The sequence below is a fragment of the Homo sapiens genome, chromosome 6 (genome assembly GCF_000001405.40).
Source record: "Homo sapiens chromosome 6, GRCh38.p14 Primary Assembly".
NCBI classification, from domain to species: domain Eukaryota; kingdom Metazoa; phylum Chordata; class Mammalia; order Primates; family Hominidae; genus Homo; species Homo sapiens.
The window spans coordinates 135,962,521-135,978,847 of NC_000006.12; the positions used below are offsets into that span (position 1 = coordinate 135,962,521).

At 40.0% G+C, this 16,327-nt stretch overlaps 1 protein-coding gene across 1 annotated transcript in view; it reads left to right on the forward strand.

Moving 5' to 3' along the window:
• PDE7B (phosphodiesterase 7B) overlaps window positions 1-16,327 on the forward strand; it is a 343,874-nt gene that overhangs the window by 110,820 nt on the left and 216,727 nt on the right. The window lies entirely within an intron of this gene.

Here is a 16,327-nt window from a genome sequence, read left to right on the forward strand (position 1 = left end):
CAATAAAATGTGGTCATTCATTTTTCTAATAAAAGAGATTTTAGGTTATTTCTCTGATTTCTAAGAGTACAAAGGGTGTTTCTTATTGTTTGTTTGCATTACTAAAACCTACATCTCCCAAGTATAAAGGTTTTGATAACTGACTCCCATGGTGGAATATGCATAAATAGAGAGGTGGTTGTGACTTCAACTGTGCCTTAAGGTAACCACTACACCAGTTGCTGCATCTTAGAGTTGAGTCAGGGCTTTTATTAAACCTCTCTCACAAAGTCACCTGACCCCAAACAAATGGAATTCCTGAGATCAGCCATCCTTTTGCAGAGGGCATGTGACCCAAAAATCCAGTACCTTGTATCATAGATCAACATGCCACCCATTGACATCCAGCCCATGACATAGCACAGAAGTTGCAAAACAATAGGAAAGTCAAGTAACTGAGGTTTGTGGTTCTGCGGCAAATGGAAGCCTTCCAGAACCAACACACTAAGAGTCTGTTGCAGTAGGGATGGGTGAGAGCTCATTGCACAAATGATATCAAGTAATGTGGAACAAAACACTGTGGAACTTTCTGAGGTTCTCAAAATCGAAACATGTAACACAGCCACACTAGTACACATGCATGCACGTGCACATATACACATGGAGACACAGCCTGCCTCTGCCTCAGAGACATCCTCAAGATGTTATCAATACATGTTTCAATTATGCCAGGGGAATTTGCAGTTTTCATTAAGCTAAGAGACAAACAAAAGGCAATTGCACATTTCCAAGTTCAAGATCTCTATTTTCTTCCTTTCTTCTCAAATTGGACCCAAAAGGCATAGTTTTGTCTGAGGGAATAAAGGTACAGTTATTTTGTGCAACCAGTTAGTTTACTTTCACTGTTCAGAGAAGAAACGGAGAGAAATGCTATATAACTCTGAGTGTCCTAATGTCTGCCTCAAATATATGAAGATCCTGCTGATACAAAACTCTATAAAGAACTACAAATACAGTGTGATTTTCCAAAGATGAATGGTTATGTATATGTGCATGTGTGTATAGAACCTTAAGTGGTAAGAAAAATTTTAATTTGATTTGATTCGTCGTATTTTGTCCTGCATTTTACAGCTTTTCTACCATCAACATGTATTACTTTCATAATAGAAAAAATAAACATGAGAAAGAAATAACCTGTTGGTAACTTTTTTTAAAAAAACATGGAAAGGAAAGGTGATTGGCAATCTCATCCTTAGAACACTTCCCTCCTCGGGGAATTCTTTTTATACTTGATTTGTCTTTAGAGTGACTTTTTTCTATTTTTAATGAAGGGGGCTACCTCTGCTTCTGTTTTTTCTCTAAAAGGGGATAAAAAGAAATGGGGGAAAAAGCTGAGAGCAGTGTGCAGCTGAGGTCCAGTGAGCTCTAAAGAGGCCCTGAAAGGTTGTTCAGGGACAGCATCCTGTTGTAGAACTTTCCCGAGGACAAAGAGACAGGCAAGTCTTTGTTCAGGCTCTATCATCTAGTTCATTGTTCTCTCATTGAAAAATTAAAATGTGTTGTGACCACTTGTTTTTAACATAAAAAGCTTTTTCTGGGTTTTTTTTTTCTTTTATTTTTTTTGAGACGGAGTCTTGCTCTGTTGCCCAAGCTGGAGTCAGTGGTGCAATCTCGGCTCATTGCGACCTCCGCCACGAGGGTTCAAGTGAGTCTCCTGCCTCAGCCTCCTGAGTAGCTGGGACTACAGGTGCACACCACCACACCCGGCTAATTTTTATATTTTCAGTAGAGACAGGCGTTTCACCATATTGGCCAGGCTGGTCTCGAACTCCTGACCTCAGGTGATCTGCCTGCCTCAGCCTCCTGAAGTGCTGGGATTAGAGGCATAAGCCACCATGCCCGTCCCTCTGGGTTCATTTTTAAAGTAAATCATCATACTGGAGGGAAAATCAGTGGCTTCCCAAAAGTATATAGTGTCTTTAATTGTACCCATAATCATTGTGACTCCAAAGAGCAGTGTCAAGTAACAGTCATATACTAGGATTTCTAATGTACAATTATAAAGTAATGATAAGGAAAAAGTTGATTTGTATAATATTTTGCTTATACTCTGAGCCTGGATAATCTAGAGCGTATATAATATTCTATAGCTATATGATCTGATAATGATGGATTTGTCCAGTAAAAGTAGATAATGAGTTCCAACCAAATAGGTGCACTCTTCTAGGCACCAGAAAAACAGTAGTGAATAAAACAGACAAAACTTCTGTCCCAGGAGCTTAGATTCTAGTAGGATGTGGGGGTGCAGTAAATGGACAGTAAACAGTATAAAAAATTAAATTAGATATTGCAGGCTGGGTGCAGTGGCACAGTGGCTCATGCCTGTAATCCCAGCACTTTGGGAGCCTGAGGTGGGTGGATCACCTGAGCTCAGGAGTTTGAGACCAGCCTGGCCAACATGGCAAAACCCCATCTCTACTAAAAATGCAAAATTAGCTGGGTGTGGTGGCGTGCGCCTATAATCCCAGCTACTTGGGAGGCTGAGGCAGGAGAATCACTTGAACCTGGGAGGTGGAGGTTGCAGTGAGCTGATATTTTGCAGTTGCACTCCAGCCTGGGCAAAAAGAGTAAAACTCCATCTCATAAATAAATAAATGAATAAATGAATAAGACATTGCATTGTTTTAGAACATGATGGACTATAAAATAAATAAAGCAGAAGTATCTGTGAGAAATGGAGTAACAGTGGTAGAGGCGGAGGTGAGGGTGCTGATTTGAGAAGGTGAACAAGGATCTGCTTGTTCAGGAGCAGCAGGATCTGCTCAGGATCTGCAGCAACTGTCCTAGGTAGAAGGCACAGCACCTGCCAAAGGCCTGGAGCAGGAGTGAGCCTGGAGAACCCAAGGAACAGAAAGGAACAAGTGTGGCTAAAGCTGAGTATGTTAATCTGTTCTCAAGCTGCTGATAAAGACATACCCAAGACTGGGTAATTTATAAAGAAAAAGAGGTTTGATGGGCCCACAGTTCCACATGGCTGGGGAGGCCTCACAATCATGGCAGAAGGCAAAAGGCACATCTTACATGGTAGCAGGCAAGAGAGAACTTGTGCAGGGAAACTCCCCTTTATAAAACCATCAGATCTTATGAGACTTATTCACTATTATGAGAACAGCATGGGAACCGAACCTCATGATTCGGTTACCTCCCACTGGGTCCCTCCCATGACACATGGGAATTGTGGGAGCTACAGTTCAAAATGAGATTTGAGTGAAGACACAGCCAAACCATATCACCAAGGAATGAGGATTAGGAGACAAGAGGTCATGGGAGGCAGAATTGAGGAGTCCTCATGAGGACTGTAGATTTATTCTGCATGAGATGAGGAGCCAGAGGAAATTTTTGAACACTAGTGTCATGGAATCTGACTTCCTTTTTAAAATACTGGATATCTTAGGTTGATTTTGAAAATTAACAAAATAAGGAAAAAGTGCCTGCAGTATATTGCCATTGTCCTTAAACAAGCACTGAAAGGATATGTTTAGGGTAATAACAATAAAGAGATTTAAAGCCATATGTTATATATGCTCCAGATAAGTAATATGGTAATTAATGTTCATCTAACATAGAAAGTTCAACTAGAGAACATACCACTTTAAAGGAGTTAGGACTTAGAAAGGAAAAGTGATTGGCAATCTCGTCCTTAGAAAACTCCCCTCCTTGGGGAATTCTTGCCGTACTTGATTTGTCTTTAGAGTGGCTTTTTTCTAGTTTTAATGAAGGGGGCTACCTCCGCTTCTGTTTTTCTCTCTTTGACTCTCTACCTTTCTTAAAGAATAGCTTGGTATCATAGTTAATGGCTTACTCAGGAAACTAGTTTTACTAAAAAACAAAGGAAAGAGAAGCCTCTCCTTTTTCCATGATCTTTAAGGTAGGTGTTTACAAATGCTAGCAGAGTTAAGCAGGCTCCAGAGTCTCTTTATGACAGAGCAGGGACTCTGCATTCTCAGAAAGTTGTCTACTGACAACATTAGTGGTGCCATTGACCTAGGCTAGAATGAGTAGCGCTCCCTAGGGTTGCGATGTGGCAGCCCTGGGCATGAGAGATTGGTTCATCACAGACATCAGGCTTTGGCCTCTCTGATGCCCTTTTTGTCTGAGAACCATGGACTGACCCAAATACCCTCTCTTTGATTTATTCAGTCAGAAAGTGAGAATACCAGCATTTCTCTACTCCCATCCCCTTTAATTTTACCTCCAAGGAAAAATTTGTGTGAATTTTTAAAGAAAGGCACATCTATACAGAATTTATAAGGTAACTCGGTGAAAAGGAGACCCAAAACACAAAATATAATTGTCCACTCAGTTTGGCCAGCAATTATTGAGCATCTACTGTAATCCTAGAACTATGCTTGGTAGTAAGGATAGGAAGAAATGAGTGTGGCCCCATCTCCCGTGTTCTGTTTTCTAGCATTATACAGTCAGCCCCCTCTGCTCTGCAAGAGAATGAAACAGGACTGGCCCTTTCCCTGCAGTGGCATTGTTTTACAAACTCATGGATATTCAGGTACACACATCAGCCTGGAACCTGGGCCTCCTCTATGAGTTGTTTCATGCTTATCCTGGTCAAAGCATTGATAGGCCCAGAAAAGTCTATAATGGGTAGATTCAATTGACAGTCTGGAGACTTGATTTTATGTCCTGGCTCCTTCCCCAGATTGTACACCATAATCTCTCTCTGTCTCAAATTCCCCATCCTTCAAACATGTCCAACAACCCGCTATGTAACCCCAACTTTAACTGCATTGCTTATGAGTTTGAATGAAATAACAATATGAGTAAAGGACACAGGAAAAAAAATCAACTGTCTATGCCAATATCAGGCTTGTAAAGGGTATGGTCACTTTCTATCAAGAAACCTTGGTAGTTGAGTGAACCACATTTTTCTTTAGTGTGCCTTTAGTGAAAAATGACTAATTGAATAGAATTGCTAGCACCAGAACTTCAGCTTTCAAAATACTAAGCTATCGCTGTGAAGGAGACAGTCCTGAAATCTGTGACCTTGGATCAGGCACAACAACCTATCTGCTCTCAGGCACCAAAAGCAGACTTGCCAAGCAAATATTCCTGGAGTCAATTTCCTGATGAATTCTTTAGGGTCTATGTCCATAACTGTCCTTCATAAGAATGAGGGATGCTTAATTTTGTAGGATACTAAATGGTTTGGCTTATCTGCTTTCTCCAAAATACATGCTGAAACTGTAGGAAAGCTCATGGCCGAATGAATACTCGTATAAGGAGAAGACTAAAGAGGTCATGGGCAAGAGCACATAATAGATATCCACAAGGGGCCAGCGCCACTTGGGCAGGACCTGAAGGCCAACCAAGACTGTGAATCCCCAAGCCAAGGTAGCTGAGAACAGAGAAAGTCAATGACTCCTGTAGAAGCATTCTCTTCATCTCTTTGGAAGCCTTGGCAAGGGTACTGTGGCTATTGAAGAAAGGTTTGCTTTTTGGCAACACTGAAACAGATTTAAATTCATATTGAAACAAATGACGCAAGCATCTCTAGTTAAAATAGCTTTGTTGGGAGAACTGGCTAGCCATATGCAGAAAATTCAAACTGAACCCCTTCCTTATACCTTATGCAAAAATTAACTCAAGATAGATTAAAGACTTAAATGTAAAACTGAAAATGATAAAAACCCTAGAAGAAAGTCTAGGCAATACCATTCAGGACATAGGCACGGGCAAAGATTTCATGATGAAAATGTCAAAAGCAATTGCAACAGAAGCAAAAATTGACCAATGGGACCTAATTAAATGAAAGAGCTTCTCCACAGCAAAGAAACTATCATCAGAGTGAACAGGCAACCTACAGAATGAGAGAAAATTTTTGCAATCTATCCATCTGACAATTCTAACATCTAGAATCTACAAGGAACTTAAACAAATTTGCAAGAAAAAAAATTAAGAAAGTGGGCAAATGACATGAACAGACACTTCTCAAAAGAAGATATTTATGCAGCCAACAAACAAATGAAAAATAGCTTGACATCACTGATCATTATAGTAATGCAAATCAAAACCACAATGAGCTACCATCTCAGAACAGCGATTATTAAAAAGTCAGGAAACAACAGATGCTGGTGAGGCTGTGGAGAAATAGGAATGTATTTACACTGTTGGTGGGAATGTAAATTAGTTCAGCCATTGAGGAAGACAGTGTGGTGATTCCTCAAAGACCTAGAACCAGAAATACCATATTTGACCCAGCAATCCCATTACTGGGTATATAACCAAAAGAATATAAATCATTCTATTATAAAAACACATGCACACATAAATTCATTGCAGCACCATTCACAATAGCAAAGATGAAATCAACCCAAATGTCAATCAATGATAGCCAGGATAAAGAAAATGTGGTACATATACACCATGGAATACTATGCAGCCATAAAACGGAATGAGATCATGTCCTTTGCAGGGACATGGATGGAGCTGGGAGCCATTATACCCAGCAAACTAATGCAGGAACAGAAAACCAAACACTGAATGTTCTCACTTATAAATGGCAGCTGAACAATGAGAATACATGGACACATCGAGGGGAACAACACACATTGGGGCCTGTGGTGGATGGTGTGGAGTGGGGGTGTTGGGTGGAAGGGAGATCATCAGGATAAACAGCTAATGTATGCTGGACTTAATACCTAAATGATGGGTTGATAGGTGCAGCAAACCACCATGGTACACGTTTACCTATGTAACAAACCTGCACATCCTGCACCTGTATCCTGGAACTTAAAATAAATAAAAATTTAAAAAATAATAAAATAGCTTTGTAATATACATTTCACATATTAAAATATGCATTTTTCTAGGGATAGCTTTGAAAGAAACTTCTCTATAATGAGGAATGAATCAGAGCTTGTTAGCATGAAATCATATTTCAGGGTCTTCCTTGGCTCATTAGAGAGCAAAAGGTCTCATAGATCAAGAGAAAAAAACAAGCAAAGGGGAGAGGATTCCCTATTTATTAATGGTGCTGGGAGAACTGGCTAGCCATATACAGAAAACTGAAACTGGACCCCTTCCTTACAACTTATACAAAAATTAACTCAAGGTGGGTTAAGGACTTAAATGTAAATCCCAAAACTATAAAAACCCTAGAAGAGAATCTAGGCAATACCATTCAGGACATAGGTACAGGCAAAGATTTCATGATGAAAACATCAAAAGCCAAAATTGACAAATGGGACCTAATTAAAGAGCTTCTGCACAGCAAAAGAAACTATCATCAGCGTCTGAGTCATTTTTAATGTACTGTATAATGGAAAAGGACCCCATGGCTATTCAGAGATGAAGGAAGGAAATGAGATGATAGGAAAGAGAAAATAACCCAGGTGGGGAAATGATGAAGATGGTGTTGAACTAGTGAAGTGCCATGCTATAGCCAACAGTTGACAAGAGTGTTTTACTAGAGAAAATAGTGACTGAGTCAGTGCAAAAAAAGTGACCTTTCTCATATCAAAAATCCAGCAATTTATTGTTTCTGTAAATATTTATTGAGTATCTAGTACGTGCCAGCCATTCTTCTTTACCTGCGTGGAAATAGCAGTGATGAAAATAAACAAAATCCCTTGGGTCTCATAAAGTTTACACTTCATTGGTAGAGATAAATAAAGTCAGGCAAACACATACTTAAATCATTTCAGGTCGTGATACAGACTATGGAGAAAAGAAAAGCAGGATAAGGGGACAGGGAGTGACATGGTGGTGGCAGGTGGGTAGCTTTTGTGGAGAGGCTGGTCTAAGAAGGCATTCCAGGCAGAGAGGGCAACAGGTGGAACAAGAGGAAGGCCAGAGTGTGGAATGGGATGAACAAGAGGAGAAGCAGTAGGAGGAGATGAGTTCAAAGACCCCAGTGGGGCAAAATTATGTGGGGTCTAGGCCAGTGCTTCTGAAACTTTAACATGCATGCAAATCACCTGGGCATATTGCTAAAATGCTGATTTTGATTCAGGAAGTCGAAATGGGGCCTAAGATTAGGTCTATTTAACAAGTTCCCACTGATGCTGATAATGCCAGTCCCCGGTATACATTGTGAAGAGCCAGTTCCTAATCCATAATGGAGAGTTTAGATTTCATTCTATTATATGTGCAGTGTTCTGAACAAGGAGTGGCATAACTTATATTTTTAGAGATCACATTTGCTTTTGTATGGAAAATAGATTCTACGTGGGCACTGGGAAAGAACTACGACATTCGTCAGGGCTGGAAATTAGTGGTTTGGCCTAGGGAGACTGTAGTGGGGCAGCGAGACGTTTGGATCCAGGCAATATTTTGAAGGTAGAGCTGATAATATTTGCCAATGAATTGGAGGTAGTAAACAGAAGAAAAGAGGGAAGCGTGCATCCTTGGCTTAAGCAACTGAATAATGGTGATGTCATCAGCTGAGATGGGAAGAGGAGGGTAAGGGATAGTGGATGGCATGGCAGCAGAGCAGGTGGGGGTATGGATTGAGTTGTGTCCTGCCAAGATTCCCATTCTGAAGTCCTATTCCCCCGTACCTCAGAATGTGATCTTTTCTAGAGCTAGCCGTCTTTACAGAGGTAATCAAGTTAAAGTGAGATAATTAGAATGGACCCTAATGCAGTATGACTGATATCCTTATAAACAGGGGAAATTTGGATACACAGACACACATATAGACATCTTCACGCAAACATGAAGGCAGTCATCGACAAGCCAAAGAGAAAGGCCTGAAACAGATGCTTCTCTGAAGGAACCCTCAGAAGGAACCAACCCTACCAATATCTTGATCTTAGACTTCTAGCCTTCCCGAACTGTGAGAAAATAAATGTATGTTGTTTAAGCCACTTAGTTTATGGTGCTTTGTTACAGCAGCCCTAGCGTCCTAATATAGTAGCGGGAAAGAGAGATTGCTCTTTTAGGCAGACCCCGTCAGAGAAGGAGTCAATTTTAATGATCAGGGGAAGGAGCTTTCCAGAAAGAGAGAGCAGCATGTGAGCATGTGTGAAAGCTGTGATATAGGAACAGATGGTGTAGAATAAAAATTTTATTTTGAACCCAAAAAGTAGTGACATTACTGAATTGGAGTGTTAAAATAAAAAATTCATTGGACTAGAATTCAAAAGACATTGGTATGAGTTCTAACTCTGCCACTTACTCATTGCATATGGTTAAGCAAGTGTCTTAAACTCTTTGACCCTCAGTTTCCTCACTGGAGATAAACTACCCACGGCACCTATCCACCAGGCTGCTGTGAAGTCCAGATAAAATAGAAATACATGTGAAAGTACCTTACAAAGTATGAAACCTTATGTAAATTTAGTTGTGGCAGCTGTTTTCTCATTGTTGCTGCAGCTGGTGTTATTGTTCCAGCCATAATAGATAATAATGTGCATAACGCTATAGTAAACAGGGATGTGCCGGGCACGGTGGCTCATGCCTGTAATCCCAGCACTTTGGGAGGCAGAGGCAGGCAGATCACCTGAGGTTGGGAGTTCAAGACCAGCCTTACCAACATGGAGCTACCCCATCTCTACTGAAAATACACAATTAGCTGGGTGTGGTGGTGCCCACCTGTAATCCCAGCTGCTTGGGAGGCTGAGGCAGGAGAATTGCTTGAACCTGGGAGGCAGAGGTTGCAGTGAGCCAAGATTGCACCATTACACTCCAGCCTGGGCAACTAGAGCTAAACTGTTCTCAAAAAAAAAAAAAAAAAAAAAAAAAAAACCCAAAAAACAGGGATGTGTCTGCTCCAGACATGCAACTCATGGGTCATGAGCTTTGATGTTACAAGAATGCTTGAGAGTCTGTTTTGGCTACTGTCAAGTCATCCATCTTATTTTTTAGAAGCTAAAAAATCCAAGTTCATGTGATTTTAATTATAACCATACTTTTATTTAAAGTGGGAAGGAACAGAAGATTGTGGTAGCATAAATCATAAGTCATCTAATCTCATTTAGGTTATATGAAAACAAGATGGAAACCTTTGAAGTTAGTGTGTTTATTTGCTAATCTACCTCCCTCTTCCTGCTGCACACATCACACTGTGGTTCTCAGAATTGTTCAGATGGGAAGTATTTTTTTGCAGAAATTTTTATTTTAAAAATAATAACTTCAGTGTCTGCTCTAAATCAATATTCCGTTGGTCAGAAACGAACCATCTTAGCTACCACTGTTGCATCAAATTTTGCAGCTCATGGAAATAAGCCAAGAGGTTTTTATGACCATTGATAATGGACTAAAAGAAAACCCAAGACAGATAGATGACAGCTGCAATGTTCTTGGCACAGCTAAGGTGGGTTGGGAGTGGGTGTGAGGAGAGAACAATTCAGAAATACTTTTTAAAAAACAATCTTTCACCCCCACAATGTTTGGGGGCTTGTTTATATGTATCATTTTGTATTTTTGTAACATATTCTATTTTAATTTTACCTCATTGTGGTAAGACCACTTAACAGGAGATCTGCCCTTTTAACAAATGTTTGAGTGTATATACAGCATTATTGACTACTGGTGCAATGTTTTACAGCAGATATCTAGAGCTCATTCATCTTGCATAACTGAAACTTTAAGCCAGTTGATGAGTGATTCCTGATTTTCCCTTCCCCGTACACCATGGAAACCACCGGTATTCTACTATTTGATTCTATGAATTTGACTAGTTTAGATACCGCATATAAATGGAGTCATACAGTATTTGTCTTTCTGTGACTGGCTTATTTCACTTAGCATAATGTCCTCCAGGTTCTTCCATGTTGTCACAAATTGCAGAATTTCCTTTTGAAGGCAGAATAGTATTCCATTGTATGCGTCTACCATATTTTATTTTTCCATTCATCTGTTGATGGATCTTAGGTTGTTTCCATATCTTGGCTATTTGAATAGTGCTGCAATGAACATAGAGGTGCTAATATCTCTTCGAGGTCCTGACTTCTGTTCTTTTAAATAAATACTTAGTAATGGGGTTGCAGGATAGTATTATAGTTCTATTTTTAATGTTTTGAGTAACCTCCATACTGTTTTCCATAGCACCTCACCATTGTGCCTTCCCATCAATAGTACACAAGGGTTCCAGTTTCTCCACATCCTCACCAACATTTGTTGTCTTTTTTCTCATAAGAGCCATCCTGACAGGTATAAGGTGATCACTCATTGTGGTATTGATTTGTGTTTTCCTAATAATTAGTGACACTGAGCATTTAAACAAAATTTATTTGTTGGCCATTTTTATATGTTTTAGAGTTTAATCTATTTCATATTGTCCTCTTTTCTGTAATAAATTATGTTTTGTTAGAAGATGCCCATTTGAACGGTAACACTTTAGTTGGCCAGTAGAGAGTTATTTCCAGACTGAGTCACCATCAGCTGCATGTGCTGCCTTGCTATTCATGCCCCCACTCATAAGAGCAGGAAGACAATTCAGTCTCCATGTACTAGGGGTCCTCTGTTCCTCTGCTGATATTCAGACTTTATAAACTGAAGAATGACATGAATCAATGAACAAGACTAAACCATTCCTAACATCTTGGTAATGCAGTGTTCAAAAGATGTTCTTTTCAGATGCCTAGAGCAAGGCTAACCAACTGTTATACACTAACTAGTAACTGATCATCTATAACAATAGATAACATAGACTGGACACTGTTATGTGATTCCCATACATTATTTTGTTAAATCTCAAAATAACCCTGTAATATTTTAAGTGCTATCAATATCCTCTCATTCCAATTAACCAAATCTCTCTGTGTGTCTATATACATATATATATATCTTATAAATGTGTGTATGTGTGTGTGTATATATATATATGTACATATATAAAATTCAATCCTCTCTACAAAATACTACACTTTTCTTATTTTCATCATATGGGTGTTATGTTCCCTGAAACACTGACCTTGAGAAATAATCAGCCAATTACAGTAGAAAATTTTAATGATTTATATTCAAAGATTGAAGTCTTACTAGATGTAGCAATTTCTGGTGAAAGAAAAGAAAGTAAATGATTTCTTCCCAAATGGCTCAAACAGAAAAAACTTGGAAGTAGTTAGTGTTGCATGTGCAATTCTCTGACTCTCTTTTCCAGGCTGATCATTTCTTGGCAGCATGCCTGATTATATCTAGGCAGTTACACCCCAGAAGGTATATTCTCATAGTCAGGAATATGTGACAGACACCTCTCGTACTTTAAGTCAAGATATTATAGCTATCTTTACAGCTACACAATCATCATGATCTTGCAAATCTGGAGTCCTCCTGGTGTCACCTTTTCTGATCCAAAGGTTCAAAATCGCTTCAATTCTGTCAGCATGTCAAGTGCTTACAGTTTCTGAGATGGTGCTGGTGGTTTCTAAGGGTGAATTTGCAAGTCTCCAAAACTCCTCTCTGGAGCTTCTTCTGGAGATCACACACTCAAATGCCTCCAGGAGCCAAAAGGGTGAGGTGCAAGAGTGAGTGAAGCCAACTGGGTTCAATACAAGAGACAGTGATGGTGCTGAGGCCCCTGGAGAGTATGTGCCCCCAACTAGAGCAGCAGCTGCTGCTCTGCCACTGCCACAAAATGTCATGAGGGAATGCAGGCTCTGTGTGGCCAACTCCAGTCGTTTTTTTTTTGTTTTGTTTTTTGTTTTTCAAGAAAACCTGGAAATTCAGATGTCTGTGTAAAATATACTGATTGATAAATGTTGGCAACTAATACAGATTTCTTTCTTTTAAATACAATGCAGCAAGTTCACCAGGCCACTACTTTGCAACTTACACTTTAGGGGTTCTCAGTGGGGAAGAAAGTGCCAAAATATTCTCCTGCACTTCCCTCAGCAGCTTTTCCTCTCTGACCTCTCACAACCAGAAGGATATCATAAGCAGTACTTCCCTTCCACTAGGAAGGATATGAGCTTTGAGGAAAGTGAGGAGCAGGTCCTTCAAAGAAAATCTTGGGCTCCCAAATCCAGCCCTTTCCCTACTGCCTTTGGACAGAGGAGTATGTAACTCAAGATCATCATAGACAAGAATGTGTGCATATTTGGGTTTCTCCAAGGAACTACAGCCTTGTAGAGCACTGCAGGGCCTCTGGCTGAAATAAGGAAGTTGGGAAAGTAAAGAAAAGGATTCTATTTTCAATGTTCTGGGCTTAAGAGAACAGCAAAACTTCCAAATTAAAACAACTTAAGACATTTTGGGTAGATTCTCAATGAGATTTAAGACTAAAAATTATATATTTGGCAGCTATAAAAATAGAAGTGATATACTCACTCCCCCAATGGGGATACCTTAGGTGCCAAATTTGTGTCACAGTCAGGACTGGGACAGTTGGTAAATTAACGTGGACTAGAACCACCCACAGCAGTGAGACCTTACAGTGAGCTGGAGAGGATGTCTCCAACCAGGCCATGGAGTTGGAGACAAATCCTCCAACCAGAATGCAGGATTTGGAACCTTGGAAACTCCTAGGTGATTCTTTACAGAAAAGCAAAGTCTAGCCTCAGGGAACCCAGAAATGGTGGCGTTCCAGTATCCAGACCTGCAGCCGATACCACAGAAACCTGTGTAGAGTGGGACCATGAAAACAGCCCACTTACTAGATCCCAGATAATCAAACTAGTTACAAATGAGTTTGGCAAACTCTTAGAAGGCAGGGAACTATGTAATCCCTTAGAAAAATTCTTATCAAATGTTTCAGATGAATCCCTTCTGAACTTTTACACTCTATTCCTCAAGCAGCATTCTCCACAGTTCAACTTTTGCTTTCCTGGGCCACTTGAGGAAGGAGCAGGAACAGAGAGAGCAGCAAAGGTCCTCTGGTCATCACAATAAGTTCTCAGCCCCCATAAAGGCCCTCAAGGGTCAATTGTACTGTTTCCCCAATGGCGCTGCTGGGAGCTGCTTGATTCCACACCTCTACCTGGGGAAGGGCTGCAGTGATAATACACCTGTTTACAGGGCAGAGCGGGAGTAAGTAAAACAGACCTCAAAGAAGATGAAGGACAGCTTTCCATTTTTTCTTCCTTAGGTCTTTAGAATTCATTTGTTATACCTCTCTCTAAATGATTCCATAAACTACATCTTGACCACTTAAAAAGTAAAATGGGGAAGACAGCTTAAGCCATCTTTTAAATCATAGCAAATGCCAAGAAATGTCTCAGAGGCCCTGTGATATCCCTTTGCTTAGAGCTATTTTCATTATTATTGTTATTTGCCTTGGCAGTCAAATTCTTTACAAGCAGTCTGATCTGCAAATAGTATGATAATAACTTTGGGGATGTCAGCCTTGACATTTTATTGGTTTGGGCTTCCTGCTGGTTCACCTAGGCTATTTCACTTTCTAAAACCACACACTTTCTATCCCATTCATTATCTAGAGGTCCCCACATCCAGGCAGCAGAGAATGGGCATTGATGTCTTTACCTAGTGTAGGACCTCTATACATCTGTCCAGATATGGGGAAATAGAAATCCATCCTCTGAATTCTGTGTATTCTGAGAGAGCTTGAAGTCAGTTTGTCTGACTAGCAATATCCTGGTCAACACAGGGAGGGAGGAAGTGAGATGAGACCAGCCAAGCAGAAGCATTGGCCCTTTATAGCAAGAAGCCAACAATCTATATCATCTGGTCCAAAGAGGTAGAATCCTCCCGCTTCAGGTTAAGACAACAGTAATGGCCAACCATAGGAGTAGATGGGCAGGGGCTTCTGAGAGGCTGAGGGCGCTAATGATGTCTACACGATCATAGATCTAGGGATCCAGACCTGATCATGGAGGATGGGTGGAGATATGGTTCACCTCCAGAGAAATGGGATTGAAAACATTTGATGAGGGGCCAGGATCATTTTGCCATCAGCTTGGATTCAGATTCGGTCCCAGCTCCACCCATGAAACTTGAATAGACTCCAGGGCCGAAAGCAGAAAACTACTCAAACAGTCTGCTTTCTCTTGGCATTAAGGACACTGCCTCCAAGGCATGCTGACCTTGAGGGTTATGATCTCCCTCAAGTCACCAAAGAGAAAGTACAAGTGGAGTAGCTTCCATACCCTTGTCAAAGGAGGAGATGGATCTTTTAACCTACAGACCTCACTTTCATTGGGCCAAGGTGGGGACCGAGACCAATTTATTATCCCTAAGAGCTGCCTAGGCCAAGAACAGGAGCAATAAAGAGGCTGAGGTAGGAAAGGAGAAAATGAGAGAAAGGGGGTGGGTTATTATTAAAAACATTGGCTAATTCAGATGACCATCTTCAAAGTGTCCCTGACTTAAAGTGAAATTGCATGGGCCTAGCATAAAAGCTATTAGGTGGGGGCAAAAGTAATTGTGGTTTTTGCCATGAAAGTAATGGCAAAACCGCAATTACTTTTGCACCAGCCTAATAACTCCAACAGATTGAGAACAATACTATAATTCATGAGTTAAGAAGTATATACATGTGTATACTGTAATATACACATAATGAGTATATTATAATTTATGTCTACCTGGGCTAAAGCAGGCAAACCTGTACGGTAATGCATCACTTAACTGTGCGGATACATTCTGAGAAATGCATCACTAGCCTATTTCATCATAGTGTAAACATCAAAGAGCACACTTACACAAACCTGGATGGTATAGCCTACTACGCACCCAGGCTATGTGCTCTAGCCTATTGCTCGTAGGCTACAAACCTGTACAGTATATTACTCTGCTGAATACTGTAGGCAATTGTAATATAGTGGACAGAATTTGTGTATCTAAACATAGAAAAGGTACAGTAAAAACATGATACAAAAGATTTTAAAATGTTACACATTTCTAGGGCACTTACCGTAAATGGAGCTTGCAGGACTGGAAATTGCTGTGGATGAGTGAGTGAGTGAGTGAGTGAGTGGTGAGTGAATATGAAGACCGAGAATGTTACTGTACACTTCTGTAGTCTTTATAAACACTGTACACTTAGGCTACACTAACTTGATAAGAAATTATTTCTTCAAGAATAAATTAACCGTAGCTTACAATAATTTTTTTACTTTATGAACTTATTACTCTTTTATAATTTTTTTACTCTTATAATACTTTTTTACTCCTTTATAATAACACTTAGCTGAAAACACAAACATACGACTGTACAAAAAAATTCTTTATACCCTTATTTTATAAGCTTTTTTCTATTTTCAATTTTTTTAACTTTTGAAACTTGTGTTAAAAACCGAGACACATTGATTTTGTATCCTGAGACTTTGCTGAAGTTGCTTATCAGCTTAAGGAGATTTTGGGCTGAGACAATGGGGTTTTCTAGATATACAATCATGTCGTCTGCAAACAGGGACAATTTGACTTCCTCTTT